The 23,375-nt window shown below is 40.2% G+C and overlaps 1 protein-coding gene across 12 annotated transcripts in view, besides 2 other annotated features; it reads left to right on the top strand.

Moving 5' to 3' along the window:
- SSH2 (slingshot protein phosphatase 2) overlaps window positions 1-23,375 on the top strand; it is a 304,291-nt gene that overhangs the window by 155,853 nt on the left and 125,063 nt on the right. For 2 of the 12 annotated variants that reach the window (XM_005258059.3, NM_001282131.2), the window contains exon 1: window positions 12,944-13,226. The exons of the other annotated variants lie outside the window; for them this stretch is intronic. In XM_005258059.3, the coding sequence (XP_005258116.1) occupies window positions 13,099-13,226 (128 nt within the window). In that variant the 5' untranslated portion in view covers window positions 12,944-13,098. Of the gene's footprint in view, window positions 1-12,943; window positions 13,227-23,375 lie in introns of those variants that run through there. 12 annotated transcript variants of the gene reach the window in all.
- Window positions 12,531-12,660: an enhancer, noted in NCBI's record as "active region_11985". NCBI's record gives its function as "activates an Ori minimal core promoter by ATAC-STARR-seq in GM12878 lymphoblastoid cells {active_cell/tissue: GM12878}" and the evidence as "EXISTENCE:reporter gene assay evidence [ECO:0000049][PMID:35858748]".
- Window positions 12,711-13,150: a silencer, noted in NCBI's record as "silent region_8387". NCBI's record gives its function as "represses an Ori minimal core promoter by ATAC-STARR-seq in GM12878 lymphoblastoid cells {active_cell/tissue: GM12878}" and the evidence as "EXISTENCE:reporter gene assay evidence [ECO:0000049][PMID:35858748]".

Raw genomic sequence — 23,375 nt, 5'->3', positions numbered from 1 at the left:
GGAGAATTGCTTGAACCCAGGAGGAGGAGGTTGCAGTGAGCCAAGATCCCGCCATTGCACTCCAGCCTGGGCAATAAGAGCAAAACTCCATCTCAAAAAAAAAAATTTCCTTCTTGTTCACTACAAGTTATTTGTTTTGGATGAAAAAGTAAAAGGCTATTAGGAAAGGTTTATTATGAACACAATTCAGAACTGCTGAGTTTAGTATAAGGTCAAGTTTTTGTTTTTTGTCTCTTCTGATCTTATGTTTATGAGTTTAAACAGTATAAACTTTAGGAACTCCTTATATACTTGGTTTTTCTTACCTTGAAACCTGTATGTATATGCTCCTTATGCATATGTTTATGTCTTAAATATATTTTAAAGGAAACAGACACTATGGAAAGATTCCTATTATAACCCAAATGGCTGGGCGTGGTGGCTCACGCCTGTAATCCCAACACTTTGGGAGGCCAAGGCAGGTGGATCACCTGAGGTCAGGAGTTCAAGACCAGCCTGACCAACATGGAGAAACCCCATGCCTACTAAAAATTAGCCAAGTGTGGTGGCACATGCCTGTAATCCCAGCTACTTGGGAGGCTGAGACAGGAGAATTGCTTGAACCCAGGAGGTGGAGGTTGTGGTGAGCCGAGATCGTGCCATTGCACTCCAGCCTGAGCAACAAGAGCAAAACTCCATCTAAAAATAAATAAATAAAAAAAATAACCCAAATGATCTCTCAAACTGCCAATATCTTCATATCACTTTAACAAAATTCATATTTAATAATCTCAAAAGGCGATGTGTAAACCATCTGATGGAGAAATCTTACAAAGTGAAATTAAGGAGCATTTAATAAAACTAAGATGTTGAAGATTAGTATTATTTGTAGAATATTGGTCTTCAGAAAAGAGAGTCAAAATGTTTGCCATCTATTCATGAGGTGCTTAGAAAACAAGATTTCTGAAAAACAAAAGATTTCCCAGGTAAAATTAAAATGTTTTAAAAAATGTAATTAAACAAAAAATGTATATGAGTTTTAAATATATATTTTCTATTCTACTGTGTAATGACAAGGAATAGGACCCCTTGTCTTTTCTTTTCTACATTGTAATATTATTTCTATGGATAGAAACTCAGTTCTGATTTAATCTTCCTGTTTAGTTAGGTAGGATTCCAAGTGTGCAGTGTTGATTTTCTTTTTATATACAAAGGGAAATCTGGACGTCCAGCAGAGTAGTAGAGGATATATTAGTCAGAGTTTTCCAGAGAGACAGAATAGGATGGATGGGTGGATGATGGATGGATGGGTGGATGATGGATGGATGGGTGGATGATGGATGGATGGATGGATGGATGGATGGATGGATGGATGGACAGATGGGGAATTGGCTCATGCAATTATGGAAGCCGAGAAGTCCCATGACTGGCCATCTGCAAGCTGGAGACACCGGGATACTGGTAGGGTTTCTCAGTCCAAGTCCAAAAGCCTCAGAGCCAGGGAAGCCTTTAGAGTAATTCTCAGTCAAATGCCAAAGACCTAAGGACCTGGAGGGGTTCACTGGAGTAAATCCTGGAGTCCCAAGTCCAGAGAGCCTGGAGTCCCAAGTCCAGAGAGCCTGGAGTTCTGATGTCCAAAGGCAGGAGGAGAAGAGTATCCTAGCTCCAGGAGGAGAGAGGAAAGCTTTTTTCTCCTTTTATGTTCTATCTCGGCCTGTAGCCCAGGTAGATTGGTTGGTACCTGCTTACATTGAGACTGGATCTTCCCCACTCAGTCCACCAACTCACATGCCAATCTTCTCTGGAAACAGCCTCAGAGACAAACCCAGAAGTAATACTTTACCAGTTCTGTAGGTATTTTGTAATCCAGTTACATTGATACCTAAAATTAACTACCACAGAGAGAAAGCAATTAAGTAAGAGTAAGAAGACCTGATTTTTGGCTAACACGGTGAAACCCCGTCTCTACTAAAAATACAAAAAATTATTCGGGCATGGTGGTGGGCGCCTGTAGTCCCAGCTACTTGGGAAGCTGAGGCAGAAGAATGGCGTGAACTCGGGAGGTGGAGCTTGCAGTGAGCCGAGATCACGCCACTGCACTCCAGCCTGGGCAACAGAGCGAGACTCCGTCTCAAAAAAAAAAAAAAAAAGACCTGATTTTAGTTCCGTCTCACCTCACACTATGGTAGCCCTCAATTTCCTCATTTTGTAAAATGAGGATAACATCTGCCCATCTATCCTTTTAGGTTGCTGTGAGGTGGACTGAATAGAATCTGGAAAAAAAAAAACCACATCTTTTCTCAGTTAATTGATGTACTAGCTGAAGAATGATAAATACTGCCCCCTTTCTACTAAGGACTGAGGAGTTAATTTTTGCATACTTGTTGGTTTTATCTAATCCAGAGAGAAAAAACAACTTCCAATGTTGTGGTAAATTCTTGAACATATTTGACATGGTTGTTGAAAAGTGTATAATTGTGTAAGTGTCTGATTTTGCATGTTCACCTGATTTCAGAGAAGAAAGACATAGAAAGTGAAATATGGCCAGGGAAGTTGATACACGAAGGCTTAGAGAGATAATGATGCTGCTCTGCCAGGGCCTGGAAACTTGACCATCCTAAACAAACTGCATAGTACTAAATTGCTTGTGAAAGGGCTGAATCAATCCTGCTGTGATTTGAACTTTTGGCTCCTGAAAGTCTAGAGCAGGCTTGAAAATAAAAATAAAACCCTTACCTACTTACTAGGTTGTGTTTCAGGCCCTCTACTGAATTCTGTGTGTGAAGGAGGTATCTATCCAAAGAACAAGAGGCAGCAAGAGAGAGATGAAAGGCAGTGAAAAGGAGTCTTAAGGGCTACTCCTTATTTAGTGAGGCAGTGCTCCCAGGGAGAAAGAACTTCCATCATTAATGTACTGATTCTTTAAGGAAATATTTACTAGAGCATAATGTGTGTGTGAAAGAAAGATGATATATCTTAAGAAAGATATAAAGTGATGTAGTGCAAAGGATCAGTCATCTAACCAGGATGTATTTAGTGCTTATGACCTGCATAGCACTGTGCTAGGCTATATAAAGTCCACAAAAGAGTTAGTGTCTGATTTGCTCCAGTAGAGAGATAAGTTATATAGGCAGCAATTAGAGGACAACAAATAAATATGCTCTCATTGTTGTCTATATAAATATGCATTATGTGCCACAAAATAGAGGACAGAAAATAAGACTTTGAATAACGTAATACATATTATAAATTCTAGAGGACTTAGAAAAGTGTCACAGCGTACTATAAACCAGGAATTGATCACTGGACTTAATCAGAAGACGTAGGTTCAAATCCTAGCTCTGACATTTACTATGTAAGTTTGGGCAGGTCCCTTAATTTCAGAGCCTTAGTTTCCTCATCTGTAAAATAAAGCTGATAATCCTAGCTAGCTCTCCTTACCTACACAGGATTTTAATTAGAATTAAGTGAAGATGGATATGAAAACACTATAGAGTTTCTGATTATTGAAAGAGCTGAGAATTAAACTAGGTCTGAAAAATATGTTATACATGAAAAACCTGAAAGGCTGAATAGAAGTGGTCTCAGAATGGGAACAATTTAAACATAGGAGAATAAGACTTGGGCCGGGCACGGTGGCTCACACCTGTCATCCCAGCACTTTAGGAGGCCGAGGTGGGCAGATCATCTGAGGTCAGGAGTTCGAGACCAGTCAGGCCAACATGGTGAAACCTCATCTCTACTAAAAATACAAAAATTACCTGGGCGTGGTGGTGCACACCTGTAGTCCCAGCTACTCAGGAGGCTGAGGTATGAGAATCGCTTGAACCTGGGAGGCAGAGGTTGCAGTGAGCAAAGATCATGCCACTGCACCCCAGCCTGGGTGACAGAGCAAGACTCCATTTTGAAAAAAAAAAAAAGTGACTTAATTATAAAAAAAGAGAATGAGACTTGAATATAGAAGGACAGGATAGAAATAATCTAATTAGGCTGGGCAAGGTGGCCCACGCCTGTAATCCCAGCACTTGGGGAGGCCAAGGCAGGCAGATCACTGGAGGTCAGGAGTTCAAGACCAGCCTGGCCAAGGTGGCAAAACCTTGTCTCTACCAAAAATACAAAAATTAGCCGGGGGTGGTGGCTCGAGCCTGTAATTCCAGCTACTCAGGAGGTTGAGGCATGAGAATCACTAGTATCTTTTGAACCCAGGAGGCAGAGGTTGCAGTAAGCAGAGATCGCACCACTGTACTCCAGCCTGGGTAATGGAGTGAGACTCTGTTAAAAAAAAAAAAAAAAAAAAAAAAAAACTAAATATAGCAAAAATTTGTTTTGAAAGGTAGTTACACTGATACACTGATTGTGTTAGAGAAAGGATGAAGTTGAGGATTATATGCTGTAATGACTGGATTATAGTAGGATTTAAATTATGGTGGATCTGTAGGCTAGAAGGAAGAGTTTAGACTTGATCTGAAAGGGAATAGAGAAGTATTTGGGGAGTTTGAGTAGGGAATTAGTGTAAAAGTTATTTAACTCATTCATTTTGATAATCAGCATGTAACATAGTGCCTGGCATACAGGTATTCAAGATTAGTCAAACTGAATTTAGTTAATCTGTCAATAATATGTAGGATGAATTGGACACGTTCGATAAGCCTAGAATCTAGGCTTCTTATCAACTCAATGTTAGTCTGATTCATCTTTTTCTTTAACTATAACAAGGAATGATAATACTGGCCCAGCTAGTAGGCTTATTTTAAACATCAAATAAGATGATGGTGATGCCATCATCATTCACAAATACATTAAATGCCTCCTTCATGTAGGATGTTGTGTAAAAACTACAAACACAAAAATATCTTTAGATATAAGTGCTTTGGAAAATGTGATGAATACAAGTTTGAAATACAGAGTTCCAAAGGATCTGGTAGCAAGAGGATGGTATACAGCAGCCAAAAGATCATCTTACTGCTATATTTAGTACCAGGTTATGTCCCTATTATTGTCAGAACCTGCTAGGCATAAGTAGGATCAAGTAGAGAAGAAAATACCAGATGCAGTCAGGTAGGTATTTAAGGTCCCCAAGAGTTCTTTCTCCCTGTTGGCAATAGACCTTTTCAGTTTAAACCTGTAATGAACCTCCATCATCATGGAGACAATATAGAATACTGTTTAAGAAAGAAGGTTCTGGAGCCAGAATAACTGGCTGGATTTGAAATACTGCTGTATAAGCTTAGGCAAATTATTTAACCTCTCTGAGCCTCATAGAGATAATAATAGAATCATAGGATTGTTTATAAGAATTGAGATAGTGCATGTAAACTCTATTTTTTTATTATTTTTTATTTTTTACAGAGATAGGGTCTCCCTATGTTGCCTAGGCTGGTCTCGAATTCCTGGAGTCAAGGGATCCTCCTGCCTCTGCCTCCCAAAGTGCTAGGATTACAGGTGTGAGCCACCACACCTGGCCATGTAAACTCTTAATAGAGCACCTGACACACACTGAATGTCAGCTCAAAAATTTCAGTTATTTTATTTTCAAAACCTTCTTGGCTCTTTTAGCCTCCATTCTTTGTTACTCCCAAAATCACTTCCCATTTTTCTATCTCTGTCTTACTACATTCTAGGACACTGATGGTATTAGGCCACATTAGGTTCATTCACCTATAATGTTAATAAGTTCTACAGCATTATCATTGAACAGATCTCAAAATATCTTCTGAATTTATAGAAAAGCTCCAATATATTCCTAAATTAGAAGTAAATAATTTTAAAATTTTCTGAATTTAAAATTGTATTATCTTCAAAGTAGCTTAATAATTACATTTACCAGCCAGGCATGATGATTCATACCTGTAGTCTCCACACTTTGGGAGGCCAAGGCAGGAGGATCGCTTGAGCCCAGAAGTTTGAAACCAGCCTGGGCAACATGGCAAGACTTCGTCTCGACAGGTGTGGTGTTACATGCCTGCAGTCCCAGCTACTTGGAAGTTGAGCCAGGAGAACTGCTTGAGCCCAGGCGGTTAAGAGTGCAGTGAGCTGTGATTGTGCCACTGCACTCCAGTCTGGATGACAGAGCGAGACCCTGTCTCAAAAAAAAAAAAAAAAAAAAATTTACATTTATCTTGTTATAGTCTAAGTAGTTCTTTGGAAAAAATAATCCATAATATAGTTCCTCATAATATTTTTCTTTATAAATTTTCTACTTTATTCCCATAAACATATTTTACTTTTCTAATATATATATTTTTAGCTTTTAATGTAATGTGTAAAAGACAGGGTATAGAAGAGCATCTTGGGCCCTGAGTTAATTTAATAGATCATGGAGTAGCAGGAGACACTAATAATGCACAGGAAAATAAAAAACTAAACTCTTTAGGTAGGCAGTTTGATAATATCTACCAGGTCCTAAGATGTTTAAAATATTTCAAACTGCCAATTCCACCTCTAGGTGTTGATCCAACAAGTATATTCACATGTATGCACAAATATTTTTTTCAATATCCCTGTCATGACATGAACAAAAATTATACAAACACATGTTCATAGTGATATTGTATATAATAGTAAAGACTGGAAACAACTTAAATGCCCATAAGTAAAGGACTATTTAAATAGATTATATATGATTGTACAATAAAATGCCTTATACTCCTTTAAAAGAATGAGGGAGACTTACAATAACATGGAAAAATGTCTAAGGTATAGTGATAAGTAGGGGGAAATGCAAGTAGAATAATATGTATAATTCTGTGTGTGTGTGTGTGTGTGTGCGTGTGTGTGCATGTATGCTTCTTAAAGAGCAGCTACAATATATTGCTGTTTGCATATACAAGCAAAATTTCTGGAAATATTAATAACAATCATCTCTGGGAGTAAGATGATGAGAATGAGAATGGTGACTTTCATTTTACCTTTCTGAATTCTAAAAAGATTTAAGCATTCAGCATGTGTTAATGTTATTTAAAAAAAAAACTAGTTTAAAAAATAAAATGTTTCATCCCTGAGAGGTCTAAAAAAAAAAAAGAAAAAAGAAAACGTTTAAAGAGATAAAGTGGGGACTAAATGGTTAAATGTTTTGTAAAGTGTGTTTGATGTGAAAAGTGATCTGTAAATACCTATTATTTTTACTAAACAATAGAGTTTGGGGCTTTTGTAACCTGAAGAAAGCAGCATTTCAGCATCTCTTCCTACAGGAGCATATGGTGTTTAAGACTATGGGGGGATGAATGCCTTAGAGATCACCTCTCCTAGAGTTGATAGGCAGATCTTTTCAGTGTTTTCCATTGCTCTTATGGAGGAAAAGTTCCATGGAAAAGACTATAAAGGTTCAGTGACATTGCTTAATCCAGTGTTTAAAACTATGGTCAGATATTCTTTTTTTAAAAATTAGCCACATGGTGATTGCAAAACATGATTGCTTTTAAGTGCCTTTGTTTACAAAGTTTGGTTTATTGTATTATATAAAGAATGCCATTGACTAAGTGTAGTAAGATACCTCTTGGTGAAAATTCAGATATTATCTTGAGAGTTTTGTCCTAGTGTTTTACAGATTAACAGGAGACAGAATGTTGCATTACTCTGTAATTCTAAGTGTTGGTTTTCTTCCTTTTGATACTCAGGGGATTAACTTACTGTTTATTTTTCTACATCGAGCCCTTAGAGAAAACATAAAAATACAAATAGGTCCTGTGGTATAATCATTTTTTCTTATGAGTAAGTATTTTAAAACTAAAATTATGTAAGTTAAAGCTATTACATGAAAGCTTTAAAAATACAAAAATTGAGCACTGCACATCTCACATTACTACAGACGGTAATACTGAGTTAATGTAAAACTACCTGGCAAACAATCATAGTAAAGACTTCTTGGATGAAATGGTGGTACATAGGGGAAATTTGCATATATTTTATTTTTTTCTTTATTATTATTATTTTTTTTTTTGAGACAGCGTCTCACTCTGTTGCCCCGACTAGAGTGCAGTGGCGCGATCTTAGCTCACTGCAACCTCCACCTCCCGGGTTCAAGCGATTCTCCTGCCTCAGCCTCCTGCATTATTTTTATTTTTTTAATGAGACAGGGTCTCACTATCTTGCCCAGGCTGGTCTCAAACTCCTGGGTTCAAGCAATTCTCCTGCCTCCGCCTCCCAAAGTGCTAGGATTACAGGTGTGAGCCACTGTGCCCAGACAGGTATTTTAATGTTCATTCATTCATTTGTCAACTTCAGGGTAATGAAAGAAAACAAATACAATTAGCTTTCTATTATTGAAAGCTGACTGACCAATTTATGGATGATGATGATGATAATAATAATAATAAATTTGAATTTGGTGTTGTTCACAAAGTACTTTTGTCCCTGTATCTTTTTTTTTTTTTTTTTGGAGACGGAGTCTCACTCTGTCATCCAGGCTGGAGTGCAGCAGTGCGATCTTGGCTCACTGCAACATCCGCCTCCCAGGTTCAAGCGATTCTCCTGCCTCAGTCTCCCAAGTAGCTGAGATTACAGGCGCCCACCAGCACGCCTGGCTAATTTTTGTATTTTTAATAGAGAAGGAGTTTCACCATGTTGGCCAGGCTGGTCTTGAACTCCTGACCTCAAGTGATCCACCGGCCTCGGCCTCCCAAAATGCTGACATTACAGGCATAAGCCACCATGCCCAGCCTTTTGTCCCTGTATCTTAATCAGCCCGTGAGGTAAACATTACCTCAGTTTAAGATTAAAGAAAGTAGGGCTAGGATAGATTAAGGTTTGCCCATAGACAAAGCAGCTAGAATCTGGAACTTCTGATATCAGCATCATTGCCACTTTCTAATGTTGTCCACTTTAGCTATTTTTCAGATTTGTGGAAAAGAGCATAGAGGATAATCTCTAATCTAAACATTTTCATTTTCTCAGTGAATAAACTAAGGTGCACGGTGAGTCTTACCTTCAAGTTGCCAGACATTAAAGTGAAAGAGTAAATTTTTGTGCCAGGTACTCTTTTAAGTACTTTATGTAAATTAATTAATCCTCACGATAACTTTCTAAATTAAGTGCCAAGTACTGAGCCAAAGACTAAGTAACTGAAATTCATAGCTAATGGTTGCAGTACGATCCAAACCTGGCCTATTAATTCCAAGGCCAGAGTTTTTAACTACTGGGCTCTACTGCTTTGCACTAGGTGACTGTTTATCTTAACTGGATTAGATACATTTTCTCAGGATTCTCCAGAAGGATGAGATTCCTTTCTCAAAATTCCCCAACTCTCATAAGAACAGATCTAGGGACATTTCATTAGGGTTTTGCTACCCCATTTTATAGATGAAGGGACTTGGCCAGTCTTAGTTTATTAAGTGACCATGTTAGAACTACAGACTAGGTCCCCTGGCTTATAGCACATTGCTTTTGGCATCAGTTCAAGTGATCTACTCATGTTGAAATTTTGTCACAGCAGCAAAAACATATTTACTACATCCTTCATTCGCATTTCAGCACACCTTCAGGTCTGTCCTGGAATACAGTTAGGTCAGCATGTAAGTCTCCAGTTTTCACTGTTTTACAGTGATTATACCATAAGGGATACATGGATACACAGTAATGGAAGTCCCTTAAGCATTTTCTACTTAAGCATTTTTAATACTATTAATGTGTCATCCTACAAAAACTTAATTTGGTCATAGCTAATGTTGTCAAGAGCCAACATTTTAGAATATTCACATTTTGAATCTTGAAATGGTCAGCAAATGACATGATAAAGCTAATTTCAAATGTTCCAACTCAAGCAAGAATGTAAAGAAAGGCAGCAATTTTTCTTCAGGGCCTTTGTGCAAAATTTGTTTTTTACAGAAAGCCCCTTCTGACTTCATGTAGAGTAGAAAACTAACTTAGTTTATTTCATGCTGCTCAATCTAATTTGAAATCATTTTTGAATTCCTAGATGCATGGGTACAGAGAGCTTGCTCCCTAGAGGCTTGTTTCCCGACAGTGGAGAGTAAAGAATTAAATTGAGCTGAAACTAAATTGATTGGCATTTTGACACTCTGCACACTGTGCAAAGAAAAGGAATTTGCTCAACTTTTAAAAACATACAGTAGCACAAAGAACTATTTTCTTAAAGGTATCCCAGTTTGCAAAGATGATTTAATTTTTTTCTTAAAAAAGCAAGAGACAGGCCGGGTGCAGTGGCTCACACCTGTAATCTCAGCACTTTGGGAGGCCAAGGCGGGCAGATTGCCTGAGGTCAGGAGTTCGAGACCAGCCTGGCCAACATGGTGAAACCCTGTTTCTACTAAAAATACAAAAAATTAGCCAGGCATGGTGGCACACACCTGTAATCCCAGCTACTCAGGAAGCCGAGGCACGAGAATCACTTGAACCCGCGAGGTGGAGGTTGCAGTGAGCTGAGATCGCGCCATTGCACTCCAGCGTGGGCAACAAGAGTGAAACTCTGTCTCAGGGAAAAAAAAAAAAAAAAGCAGGAGACATGTTCTAGCACTTTCTTAATTTCCTATATTACAGTTCAAAGTGAGAATTTAACTTTGAGAAGCTTTTGAAAAAGCCTGGATAGGGACGTTAACATAGCCTCCTTAGCTGAACAGACACTGACAGAGGTCTTCTGAGGAGAAAGGAAAGGACTATGCACTTCTGGGGCGTCGCTATAGGAACCTATTTATAAAAGACAAGATACATATTTATGAAATCTTTATCTCTGGCATTTTTAAATGCAAGAGATATTAAGTATGAATTGAATAATATACATTTCCTGCTTTTTCAGACAGATACAGATGATTACCATGCCATCATCTGTCCTAAATGGCATCATTTAGTGTTGACTTCAATAAAATCCTCTCTCTGCTGTGTCATGAAAGGAACTGGACTCACCTTAATAGTGCTGTTCTAACGCGCCTGCTTTTTTTTTTTTTTTTAATCACAGCAGGAGGCTGTAATAAATTACAGTCTGGAAGAAGTTTCAAACTGGCAAGTTTGCCAGATATTTTAAGCAATTTATTTTGGGGTGTATCAGCAGATTTTTTTTTACACTACCATTTGGGTGGCTGCTGACACAGCCTGAATAAATCTTTCAAACATTTTCCTTCCTAGAGATGGATGAAGATGATGAACTCCAAGATCCAGACCTTCCGTTAACTCTTCACTTGCCACCTGGTGCTTTCCTATTACCAGATATCTCAGAAACTTAGATAACTCTTTACAGCATGAGTTTTCAGTATTTCAAGTCCCTCAAGGTGCTTTGGCAACAGGCTTAAGTTTTATAGAAGAATCAACTAACGAGTAATTCTGGTTTTAGGCATAGACCTTATAATTTGGATTGATTATTTCATTACTAGTATCTTGAAAATTGCCAAACTTTCCAATGGGAAAAGAGCATAAATATTTATATAAAACAAAGGCTTATTATTTTCTTGATTATAGCATGTTGAGTCTTAAAGTCACTTCTTCCTAATTTTAATCTAATTGGTTAGTGAAGTTTTTAGAAATTATTATTAATTTCTGACTCCAGAATTCTAAGGCAGCTTCAGTGATATATATTTTAGTCTAGTATTCAAAAATGCTGAAAATGCTGATACCTGAAAATATTTGCTGTAGCATAATGAGACTGGAAAGGTAAAATAAAAGGAAGCTAACTTCTATTGAATGCCTGCACCATGCCAGCCCCATTTGTGAGCACAACATGCAGGAGAGAGAGAGCGCAGTCATATTTTACAAAGAGCTGGTCCCTGGTCAGGTGAAAGGCACTGCTCAGTGAATTGGAAGGAACATGGTAAGGGCTTAAAACTGTAAAGGCGTCAGGGAATACAATTTGAAGGTAAAAGCCCTAGATCAAATGTCATAAAACCTGGGTTCCTGAATGACATTATTTATAAACGAGGTCATCTGCTTAGACCTTAAATGTTACTGTATCTGTAAAGTGAAGATATGATCTCTACTCTGCCGTCTCAACCATGGCTGCACTTTGGAATCACCTGGGGAGCTTTGAAAAATACGTCTAAATCCCACCTTCAAGAGATTCCAATTTTATTAAGGTGCAGCCTGGGCATTGAGATTTTTAAACCCACCACAAGTAATTCCTATGTGCAGCTAAGGCTGTGAATCTTTGAATTGGGGGATGGCTAAGAAAGCCCTCTATAGATTTACTTACAAACATTAGTAGATGTTATCGACAATCTAAATTGTTTTTTGTTTGTTTGACCATTACTTCAACTGTTTAAAAAAAAAAAATCTTGCCGGGAGCCCTGGCTCACGCCTGTAATCCCAGCACTTTGGGAGGCCGAGACGGGCGGATCACCGGAGGTCAGGAGTTTGAGACCAGCCTGGCCAACACATTGAAACCCCATCTCTACGAAAAATACAAAAATTAGCCAGGCGTGGTGGCGCAAACCTGTAATGCCAGCTACTCGGGAGGCTGAGGCTGGAGAATCGCTTGAACCTGGGAGGCGGAGGTTGCAGTGAACCAAGATCGCACCATTGCATTCCAGCCTGGGCGACAATAGCAGAAACTCCATCTCAAAAAAAAATATATATATATATATACACACACACACACACACACACACACACATATGTATGTGAGTGTAATCTCTGAATTTCCAAATCACATAGGAAGTCTCTGATAAATATTTGTTGCACTTGTGAATTTATGGCCTTTACATTTTTTAAGATCTTTCAAAAACGGGTTTGAGGTACAATGTATAGAGCCAATCTTTAAGAGGCAGGACTTTTCTGTTGAAACATCCTCCTTTAGAGAAATGCAAGCCTTTCTCGTCCACCCTTGAGTAGCTTCACTCCCTTACCGAGGCAGCAGTGTCTTGGGGCCGCCGGATGCCCTAAAGGCTGTGACGCGCGCTGCGGGATCCGCGCGGGCGTCCCGAGATCTGGGGCGGGGCGCCGGCCGGGCCTACCCTCTCCGCTCTCAGGACCCGCCCGTCCCGCCCCGGACGCGGGTGGGGGCGAACTGCTGGCGACGCCCGTCAGTCCGGACTCTACCGCCGAGCCCTGGGGCTTCGGCGGCTGCCTCCGCGCGACCCGGCGGGCCCGCCTCCGCCGCCGGGTGCACGCGCAGCCTGCGCCTCGTGCCGGAGCAGAGCAGAGGCCAGGATGCGGAGTTGTGCACTTTGAGCCGGCCCCATGACCCTGAGCACGTTGGCCCGCAAGAGGAAGGCGCCCCTCGCTTGCACCTGCAGCCTCGGTGGCCCCGACATGATTCCTTACTTCTCCGCCAACGCGGTCATCTCGCAGAACGCCATCAACCAGCTGTGAGTCCGCCGCGCGCCCTCCGCCTCCGCGAACGCTCAGAAAGTTTGCTCTTTCAGCAGCCGCTTTCCCCAGCATCCTGGGGAGCAAACAATCAAGCGAGGGCGAGCGCGCATCCTGCTTGCCTGGAGGTCTCCGTGCGTCTGGAGGGAAGGATGCTGGGGTAGAACGGTGGGGGGATTCATGGAGGCGGAAAGTGTCCCGGGGTGGGGGTGGACGGAAGAATCCTTTGGGAGAATTTCCGTTTAACTTTGAGGGACTTTGAAAGTGCGGGTTGTCCCTCAGAAGTTGTGGTGACCGAGTGACAGCTGAGCTGTTTGGCACTTGGAAGACTTGGGTGAAGGGTAGTCGACAGAATCGGAAGCGGGAGTCCCTGTGGGTCCTGCTGGTGAGCAGCTTTCCGTGATTATGGGTTTTTTTTTTTTAAAGTTTCTATTGCTAACCATTTACAAAAAGAAGGACCATTCTTCGCTCCTGCTGGTTGTAGTCTGGAGTGATTCCAGAAGGCTAGATTTCGGTAGTTTCTATTTTATCTCCTCCTGTACTACTGGTACGTGCTCACAGCCCAAGCCTGCACGCACACCTTCATTCACCAAAGCGCAAATGCATCTTTAAATCGTCGCTGTTTTTGAAGTCTCTAGAGAGTTGTCATTCCACTGTGGTTTAGCTGTTTCTGAGAAGTGTGTGTGCTGAAGCTTGTGGTTAATATCACTTCACAGTTATCAAGTAGAGGAACTTTTCCTATTCAGGTTCCATCCTTAAATCAATGCAGTGGTTTAAGGTTACTTAGATAGCAGCAGTTGGGTCTGTGTTAGTGTGTTGACACTCATTCCAAGTGGCTTCAGAGGAGTCACCTGCTGGGATTTTCCTAGACTCTTTGCACTTAAGCAAAGCTACTGTCTCCCTCCCAGGTCAACTTTTTAATGTCCAACAACAGAAACTTTACATTATCCCTTATTAAAGGTCTAGAGAATAGCATGTAAGGTGATTTCTAGATAATCTCACAACTAATTTATTATTTTCAGAGATGGTTTGCCCTCCTATCCTACCAAATCGAATTAAACTCGTTTGAGTTTCTTTTTTTCTCCCGTGTGTTGATTCATGGTGGAGCTTCTAAAAAAATAGAAAAAAAGTCACAAAAGTTGTTTTACTGCCCTGTACTGTAAAAGCTCCACAATTAAATAAACTGACTTGCATTTTCCGTCTAAAAACGGGAACGGTCATAGAGTGAAGAAGTTAATGGGTAAATAATCTGACACTGATAACCAGTATGAAAATAATAGTGTTAACAGTACTTTAAAAATGGCAGTGGAAGCAACCCAAGTGTCCATGGATGGATGAATGGATTAACAAAATGTGGTATGTACATATAGTAGAATATTATTTAGCCTTAAGGAAGGAGTCTGACATAATGCTACAGTATGAATGACCTTGAAGATACTATTCTAAGTGAAATAAGCCAGTCACAAAAGTATAAATACTATATGATTTCATTTATATGAGGTACCTATCTATAGAAGTCAAATTCAGAGAGAAGTAAAGTAGAATGGTAGTTGCTAGGGGTTGAAGGAGAAGGGGTAGGAAATTTGTATTTGAAGAGAACAAAGTTTCATTTGAGGAAGATGAAAAAATTCTGGGGATGGATGGTGGTAGTTGCACAACAGTGTGAAAATATTTAATACCCTAGAACTGTACACTTAAAATGGTTAAAATGGTAAATTTTATGCTATGTATATTCATGGCCAGTAAAAGTAATAGCAAAAACTGCAGTTACTTTTACACCAACCTAATAAGCACAATAAAAAGAATTTAAAAGGGCCTGGTGTGGTTGCTCACACCTATAGTCCCAGCACTTTGGGAGGCTGAGGTGGGAGGATTGCTTGAGCCCAGGAATTGGAGACCAACCTGGGCAACATAGTGAGACTCCATCTTAAGAAAAATAGAAAAAATTAGCCAGGTGCGGTGGCGCATGCCTATAGTCTCAGCTACTAAGGAGGCTGAGGTGGAAAGATAGCTTGAGGCTACAGTAAGCTGTGATCATGCCACCACACTCCAGCCTGGGTGACAGAGCAAGACCCTGTCTCAAAAAAATAAAAAAGAATTAAAAAGGCCAGGCACAGTGGCTTATATCTGTAATCCCAGCACTTTGGGAGACAGGAGGATCACTTGAGGCCAGGAGTTCAAGACCATCCTGGGTAACATACTGAGACTCTGTCTCTATGAAACATTTTTAAAATTAGCAGAGTGTGGTGTTACACACCTGTAGTCCCAGCTACTCAGGAGGCTGAGGTAGGAGGATTACTTTAGCCCGGGAGTTCAAGGCTGCAGTGAGCCATGAGTGTGCCATTGCATGCCAGCCTGGGTGGCAGAGCAAGACCCTGCCTCTTTAAATAATAATAATAAAATAATTTTTAAAAGACAGGGATTATAAGCTTTTTGGGGGGAAAGGAGTTGTAAATCATGTTTTCTGGTCAATCAAGTCCAAATTTTTTTTCCTACTAATTAATGTCTTTGGGTAAATAATTTGACATCAGTTTCTTCCACTGTCAAATGGGGATACAGTGGTTTTTACCCCATAAGATCCTAAGAAATCATATATTTGATAACACTTTGTGAACTGTAAATCTCTGCACAAAAAGTTAATTGAAATTAATAACTAATAGCTGCTGTTTATTGACCATTTTCACAGTGCTGAGTTTAATGTACATCTATCTCATTTAATCATAGCAACCTTATGAACTAATTTTTCTGTTTACAGATAATGAAACTGAGGCTTAGAGAAGGTAAGTAGTTGCTCAAGGCCGCATGGGTAGTAAGTGACAAAACTGTCCTTAGAATCCAGATCTATTTCCTAGGCCACTGCCCTTAACCGCTATAAAAATGATATTTTGCCTTAGTAGTTGCAAGGTCACTTTTGAGACTTGGCAGTCTGAGGAATTATCTTTGACTGCTGAAATCTTCAACTTCCTGAAAAATATATTTGCTATACTGAGTTTTCCTACTAAGACAAACTTTTAAAGAATTTTTGGAATATTTGTCTTTTATTTTTGTCTCTATTTTCCCACTTCTTTTTTCTTTGTTTCTTGTTTTGTTTTGTTTTGTTTTGAGACAGGCCCTTGCTCTGTCACTCAGGCTGGAGTGAAATGGCTTGAAGACATCTCACTTGCAGTCTCGATCTCCTGGGCTCAAGCAGCCTTCTTGCTTCAACTTCTGTGTAGCTGAGACCACAGGCACATGCCACCACACCTGGCTAATTTTTTTTTTTTGAGACCAAGTCTCACTCTTTCACCCAGGCTGGAGTGAAGTGGCATGATCTCGGCTCACTGCAACCTCTGGCGCCCCCAACCCCGGCCCCCCACCCCACCCCCCACCCCTGCCACTGGGTTCAAGCAATTCTCTCTCTCTCTCTTTTTTTTTTTTTTTTGTAGAGACAGCATCTCACTTTGTTGCCCAGGCTGATCTCATACTCCCAGGCTCAAGTGATCCTCCTGCCTTGGCCTCCCAAAGTGCTGGGATTGCAGGAGTGCGCTACCGTGCCCAGCCACTTCTTTTTTCTTTAAAGAGACTTGCTATAATATTCACTTCTTCTAAACTGTATTTATTAGTATTACTTTAGAGGTCATGTTTATTTAGCATTTATAGTGCTGCACAGCTTATCATCATTAAAAAAATTATTAGGAATCATTCTGAGTAAACTACTAAACTTTATGAACTTAAATATATCCACTGTTAGCACCTAATAAAGAAGTTCTTAATTTGAGGTCCATGGTCACCTAGAGGTCTATGGATTGGCTTCAGAAAGTCAAACTCCTTGAGATTATATGAAAATGTTGAGTAAATAAATATATTTTAAAATCAGATTCTCAAAGTGATCTGTGATCTCAAAAAAGATTAAGAAGCTCTTTCCTAAAGGGAAGTGTTATTTCTAAGACCTGATTCTGTAAACCTCAAGTGCTGTGAGTATTTCCCTGTGGTACATAGCAATAACTAGTGGGAGCAGCTAAACAATTCAGATTTAGGGTCCTAAGTGAAGACTGACTCAAAAGATTTTGTATTTGGGGGAGGGAGTACCTTGATACATGAGTACACTTAGCCCAGTGGTTCTCTCGTCACTGCTGAGAACCCTCTCAAAAGAGCTTTTTGCCCTTTCTCATTTGCTGCCCTCAGGTTTGCTGTGGGTTTAGAAACCACGAAACAAGCCAGGCAGGGTGGCTCACGCCTGTAATCCCAGCACTTTGAGAGGCTGAGGCAGATGGATCACGAGGTCAGGAGTTCGAGACCAGCCTGGCCAGCATGGTGAAACCCCATCTCTACTAAAAATACAAAAAAAGTAGCCAGCCATGGTGTCACGCACCTGTAGTCCCAGCTACTCCGGAGGCTGAGGTAGGAGAATTGCTTGAACCCGGGAGGCAGAGGTTGCCATGAGCGAAGATCTCACCACTGCACTCCAGCCTGGGCGACAGGGTGAGACTGTATCTCAAAAAAAAACAAAACAAAACACCAAAAAACAAATCCTGTGAGAATTGTGTTAAAGAGTAAATTGGAGCCAAGGGCAGTGGCTCACACTTGTAATCCCAGCACTTTGGGAGGACAGGAGTTTGAGACCAGCCCAGGCAATGTAGCAGGACCCTGTCTCTAATAAATAGATAAGAGAGAGGATGGATGGGTGGGTGGGTGGGTGGATGGATAGATAGACAGATAGGCAGGCAGGCAGGCAGGCAGGTGTAGTGGTTCATGCCTGTAGTCCTAACTACTCAAGAGACTGAGGCAGGAGGATTGCTTGAGCCTAGGAATCCGAGGTTACAGTGAGCTATGATCGTGCCATTGCACTCCAGCTTGGGCAATAGAGGGAGACTATCTATCTCCCTCTCTTTTTTTTTTTTTTTTTGAGACAGAGTCTCGCTCTTGTTGCCCAGGCTGGAGTGATCTGGGCTCACCGCAACCTCCGCCCCCTGGGTTCAAGCGATTCTTTTGCCTCAGCCTCCCGAGTAGCTGGGATTACAGGCATGCACCACCACGCCTGGCTAATTTTTTTTCTTTCTTTTTTTAGTAGAGACGGGGTTTCCCCATGTTGGTCAGGCTGGTCTCCAACTCCTGACCTCAGGTGATCCGCCTGCCTCGGCCTCCCAAAGTGCTGGGATTACAGGCATGAGCCACCGCGCCCAGCCTCTATCTCTTTGAAAATAAAATTTAGCTGGCGCGGTGGCTCACCCCTGTAATCCCAGCACTTTGGGAGGCCGAGGCGGGTGGATCACAAGCTCAGGAGATCGAGACCGTCCTGGCTAACACGATGAAACCCCGTCTCTACTAAAAACACAAAAAATTAGCCGGGTGCGGTGGCGGGTGCCTGTAGTCCCAGCCACTCAGCAGGCTGAGGCAGGAGAATGGCGTGAACCCAGGAGGCGGAGCTTGCAGTTAGCCGAAATCGTGCCACTGCACTCCAGCCTGGGCGAAAGAGCGAGACTCCATCTCAAAAAAAAAAAAGAAAAAGAAAAGAAAATTAAAAAAAGTGAATAGACCAAAGTGAGATCCTATGGACTCTCCTAGGAAGGAAACTTTATGACTTTCGGAGTGTGGGTTTTGGGCATCTATTTTGGTAATTTCATAGGCTCTTATTACTTTCAACTGTGTTATATATAATAGGTGAAATTATGGAATAGCTGGGGTATTACTGTATTTTATTGGTAATTATGTTATCATTATTAGATTAAGGTCTACCCTTGCCGCTATATAAAACTCACCAAATATGGTATTATTTTTTACCTGTCAATGAAGAACATTAATAAATGATCAAAATCATTCCAGAAATAAACTGTAGTTACTATTATACTGTTAAGTGTTAATTCTACTAGAAAAAAATATATATGAGCAACTCAGAGAATCATTTGGTCAAACTTCAGGAGTCTTGGATTAGACTGATGAGAATGATCATAAAAAGTTCATACCCTTTAAGAGTCTGTACGTGCATTTTAGTAAAACAAAAAGCTGAACTTCTGAAAAATATGGAAGCCTGTATTATTTTTTAGAGAGCTATTATCCAGTCCCTGGGAAGTAGTCACTAAGCAAGGAGCCAAGGTGTTAGTGTTATCATTATATACTAAACAAGTGGCCATTTTTGTGTCCTAAGAAGCTCAGGGAAGAATAAAAATTGTTAGATAAAATTCTGGCAAAGACTACCATTTAAAATATTCCCGGCTGGGTGCAGTGGCTCACGCCTATAATCTCAATTCTTTGGGAGGCCGAAGCAGGTGGATCCCTTGAGCCCAGGAGTTTAAGACCAGCCTGAGCAACACAGGGAGACCCTGTCTTTACAAAAAATTAGCTGGGCATGGTGGTGCGTGCCTGTAGTGCCAGCTACTTGGGAGGCTGAGGTGGGAGGATGGTGTGAGCCAGAGAGGCAGAGGTTGCAGTGAGCCGAGATGGTGCCACTTCACTTCAGCCTGGGCAACAGAGCAAAACCCTGTCTCAAAAATAAATAAATAAAAATAAAATAAAATATTCCCATTATGAAAACCTCTGATCAAAAAAGTCTTGTCTTGAAACTAAGGCACTGAAACATTGCTTGATTTGCTGTTGAGGTTATCTTAAGCTTTTTATATACTTGACCTAAAATATTTTTATTTATTTACTTGGTTCATATATGAACTTGACTTCCTAGAAGCACATGAGTGCTTTCTAAGGCTCAGCGTCAGCAGTAGAGGAGCATATTGGATGTTCATCCAAAATGTACCTTTTCATGAAATCAAAAGGTAGAAAGTCTTATTTTTTGTATTAGTAATAGTACTAATGCTCTTTCAGTTCCACTTTGTAGTTGTACAAGGGGTTTCACATGAACTTATCTCCAAACTTAAGCTTGCATCAGAATCACCTGGAGGGCTTGGTAAAACACAAATTGCTACCCACAGTCCCCAGAGTTTCTGATTCTGTAAGTCTAGGATGTGGCTGGAGAATTTGCATTTCTAACAAGTTCCTAGATGATGCTGATGATGATGGCCTAAGGACCCTACCTTAATTAAAGTATTCCTCTGAGGCAGATTGGGCAAGTCATCGTCCACATTTTATAGCATAACAAACTAGAGAATCAAAATGCTGAAGTGATTTGCACAAGGCTACATGGCTTGATGGTAGAACTGAAACTAGAACAAGCATTTCTTGTCTCTGAATCCAGAGCTCCTGTAGTGCTGCACTCACAATCCTGATACACACATCTTTGTATACATATGTAAACATTTCTTTAGATAAATTTCTAGCGGTGGAATTGCTGGACCTAATGTTGTATATATGTTAAAAATTTGATACATATAGCCAAATTGCTTTCTAAAAAGACTTTACCAATTTGTTCTTTTTTTTTTTTTTTTTCAGACAGAGTCTCACTCTATCGCCCAGGCTGGAGTACAGTGGCACGATCTCAACTCACTGCAACCTCTGCCTCCCAGGTTCAAGCAATTCTGCCTCAGCCTCCTGAGTAGCTGGGATTACAGGTGCCCGCCACCACGCCCAGCTAATTTTTGTATTTTTAGTACAGACGGGGTTTCACCATGTTTGGTCAGGCTGGTCTCGAACCCCTGACCTCGTGATCCACCTGCCTCGGCCTCCCAAAGTGCTGGGAGTACAGACGTGAGGCACCGCACCTGGCCACCAATTTGCTCTTAACCAGCAGTGTGTAGGCATATCTTTCCCTATATCTTCACCAACCCCAATAATAACATTAATAGCAGATAAGCCGGGCGCAGTGGCTCACACCTATAATCCCAGCACTTTGGGAGGCTGAGGTTGGGGGTATCACCTGAGGTCAGGAGTTCGAGACCAGCCTGGACAACATGGTGAAACCCCATCTCTACAAAAATACAAAAATTAGCTGGGCATGATGGTGGGTGCCTGTAATCCCACCTACTCGGGAGGCTGAGGAGGGAGAATCGCTTGAACCCAGGAGGCAGAGGTTGCCGTGAGCCAAGTTCATGCTGTTGCACTCCAGCCCGGGTGACTGAGCAAGACTCCGTCTCAAAAAATTTAAAAAAGGCAGATAATTTTTTACTGAACATTTACTATCTAAGGGACACTGTTTTGAGCAGTGGATATATTATTTCATTCTCTCTTCTTAACAACTTTATGAGTTAGATATTATCCTCAATTACAGAAGAGAGGCACAGAGAGGTTAACTTGTCTGAGATTATCCAGCCAGGATGCATACACAGGCAGTCAGACTCCAGAGTCCCTGCTCTTAAATACCTCTCTATTTACAATTCCCCTTATTGCTATGGAGGTGTAGCATCTTTTTATGTGTAACTGATCTTTTTGGTTTTTTTTTTTTCTGTGATTTGAGTGTGCTTCTGACCATTTTTCTATTGATATTTGGCTTTTTTCTTTTTTATGTTCTCTATATATTCTGAGTATGTGGCAAAAATACTTTCTCCTAGCCTATTGCTTGACTTTTAACTTTGCGTCCCATATAAAAGTTTTACATTTTTATATAGTCAAATCTGTTGTATTTTATCTTATGATTTCAAGATTTTGCATGTTGCTTTTTAAAAACCTCTTGCCATTCATCCTCAGGATTCTCAAAGTGTTATTTTATATTTTTTCTGGCATGTTTACATTTTTAAATATTTAACTCTTTAAAACATCTGGAATTTATTTTTATTTATAGTGTGAGGGAAAAATCTAGCTTAACCTTTTTTTTCCAATTGGATAGTTATTCTAATACCAAATTTACCATTATTTACATTCTTACTTCACTAATTTGAAATGCTACATATATATTAAATTCTTACAGATGCTTGGAGTACACTTCTGTACTCTTAAGTTCTGTTCATGTTTTTCTGTTCATATGCCAGTACTCATTTTACTTATTACACCTTTAGTAGACAAATGTATGCCAGTGCTTTACCTCCTTGTTGGTATTTTTCAGTGTCCTAACTATTTTTATTTTATTTTCCAGATAAATCTTAGAATCAGCTTATCAATTTTCACTTTTAAAAATTGTATTAGGATTTTGATTGAAATTTTACTGAATTAATTTTGGAGAAAATTAACAGTTTTACAAAATGAGCCTGCCCAATGAAGAATGTGATGTATGGATCTATTATTCACTGTTTTTTAAATATTCTTCATTTAAATTGTACAGTTTTCCTTATATGGTAATCACACATTTCTTATTAGGTATATTCATGGGCATTTTATAAGGTTTTTGTTGCTCTTGTGAATAAGCTCCACTTTCCCATGACGTTTTCTAATTAGTTACAGCAGGTGGGTGATAAAACTATCACTTTTGATATTTGCTTTTATATCAGACCACCTTGCTAAAACTCTTACTTGGTTCTAATATCTAGTATATGTTTTTACTTGATTTTATTGACTTTTCTTCATGGATGATTATATTATCTGTAAATGAATTTTATCTCTCTGAGTGCAGTTATGCACCACATAACAACATTTTGGTCAATAACAGACCACAGATACAGAAGTGGTCCCATAAGATTATAATGGGGATGAAAAATCACCTAGTGACTATAGCTGTCATAATGTCGTAGCATAATGTATTACTCATGTGTTTGTGGTGATGCTGGTGCAAACAAACCTGCATTGTTGTATAAAAATATAGTGCATACAGTTATGTACAGTACATAATGCTTGATAATAAGCGACTGCGTTGCTGGTTTATGTATTTACTGTATTGAACATTTTATCAGTATTGTAGAGTGGACTCTCTTTCTTTGTTTTTTTTTCTTTTTTTTTGAGACAGGAGTTACGCTCTTGTTGCCCAGGCTGCATTGCAATTGCACAATCTCAGCTCACTGCAACCTCCACCTCCTGGGTTCAAATGATTCTCTTGCCTCAGCCTCCCAAGTAGCTGGGATTAGAGGCATGCACCACCACACCTGGCTACTTTTGTATTTTTAGTAGAGATGGGGTTTCACTATGTTGATCAGGCTGGTCTCGAACTCTGGACCTCAGGTGATCCACCCGCCTCGGCCTCCCAGAGTGCTGGGATTACAGGCATGAGCCACTGCGCCTGGCCTACAGTGTACTCTCTACTTTGAAGAAAATATTAACTGTAAAGCTGCCTCAGGCAGGTCCTTCAGGAAGTATTCTAAAAGAAGGCATTGTTATCATAGGAGATGACAGCTCCATATATGTTATTGCCCTTGAAG

This window comes from Homo sapiens, chromosome 17 (assembly GCF_000001405.40).
Source record: "Homo sapiens chromosome 17, GRCh38.p14 Primary Assembly".
In the NCBI taxonomy this organism is placed as follows: domain Eukaryota; kingdom Metazoa; phylum Chordata; class Mammalia; order Primates; family Hominidae; genus Homo; species Homo sapiens.
The sequence above is the reverse complement of the archived record's forward strand: the minus strand, read 5'-3'. Positions and strand labels throughout refer to the sequence as shown.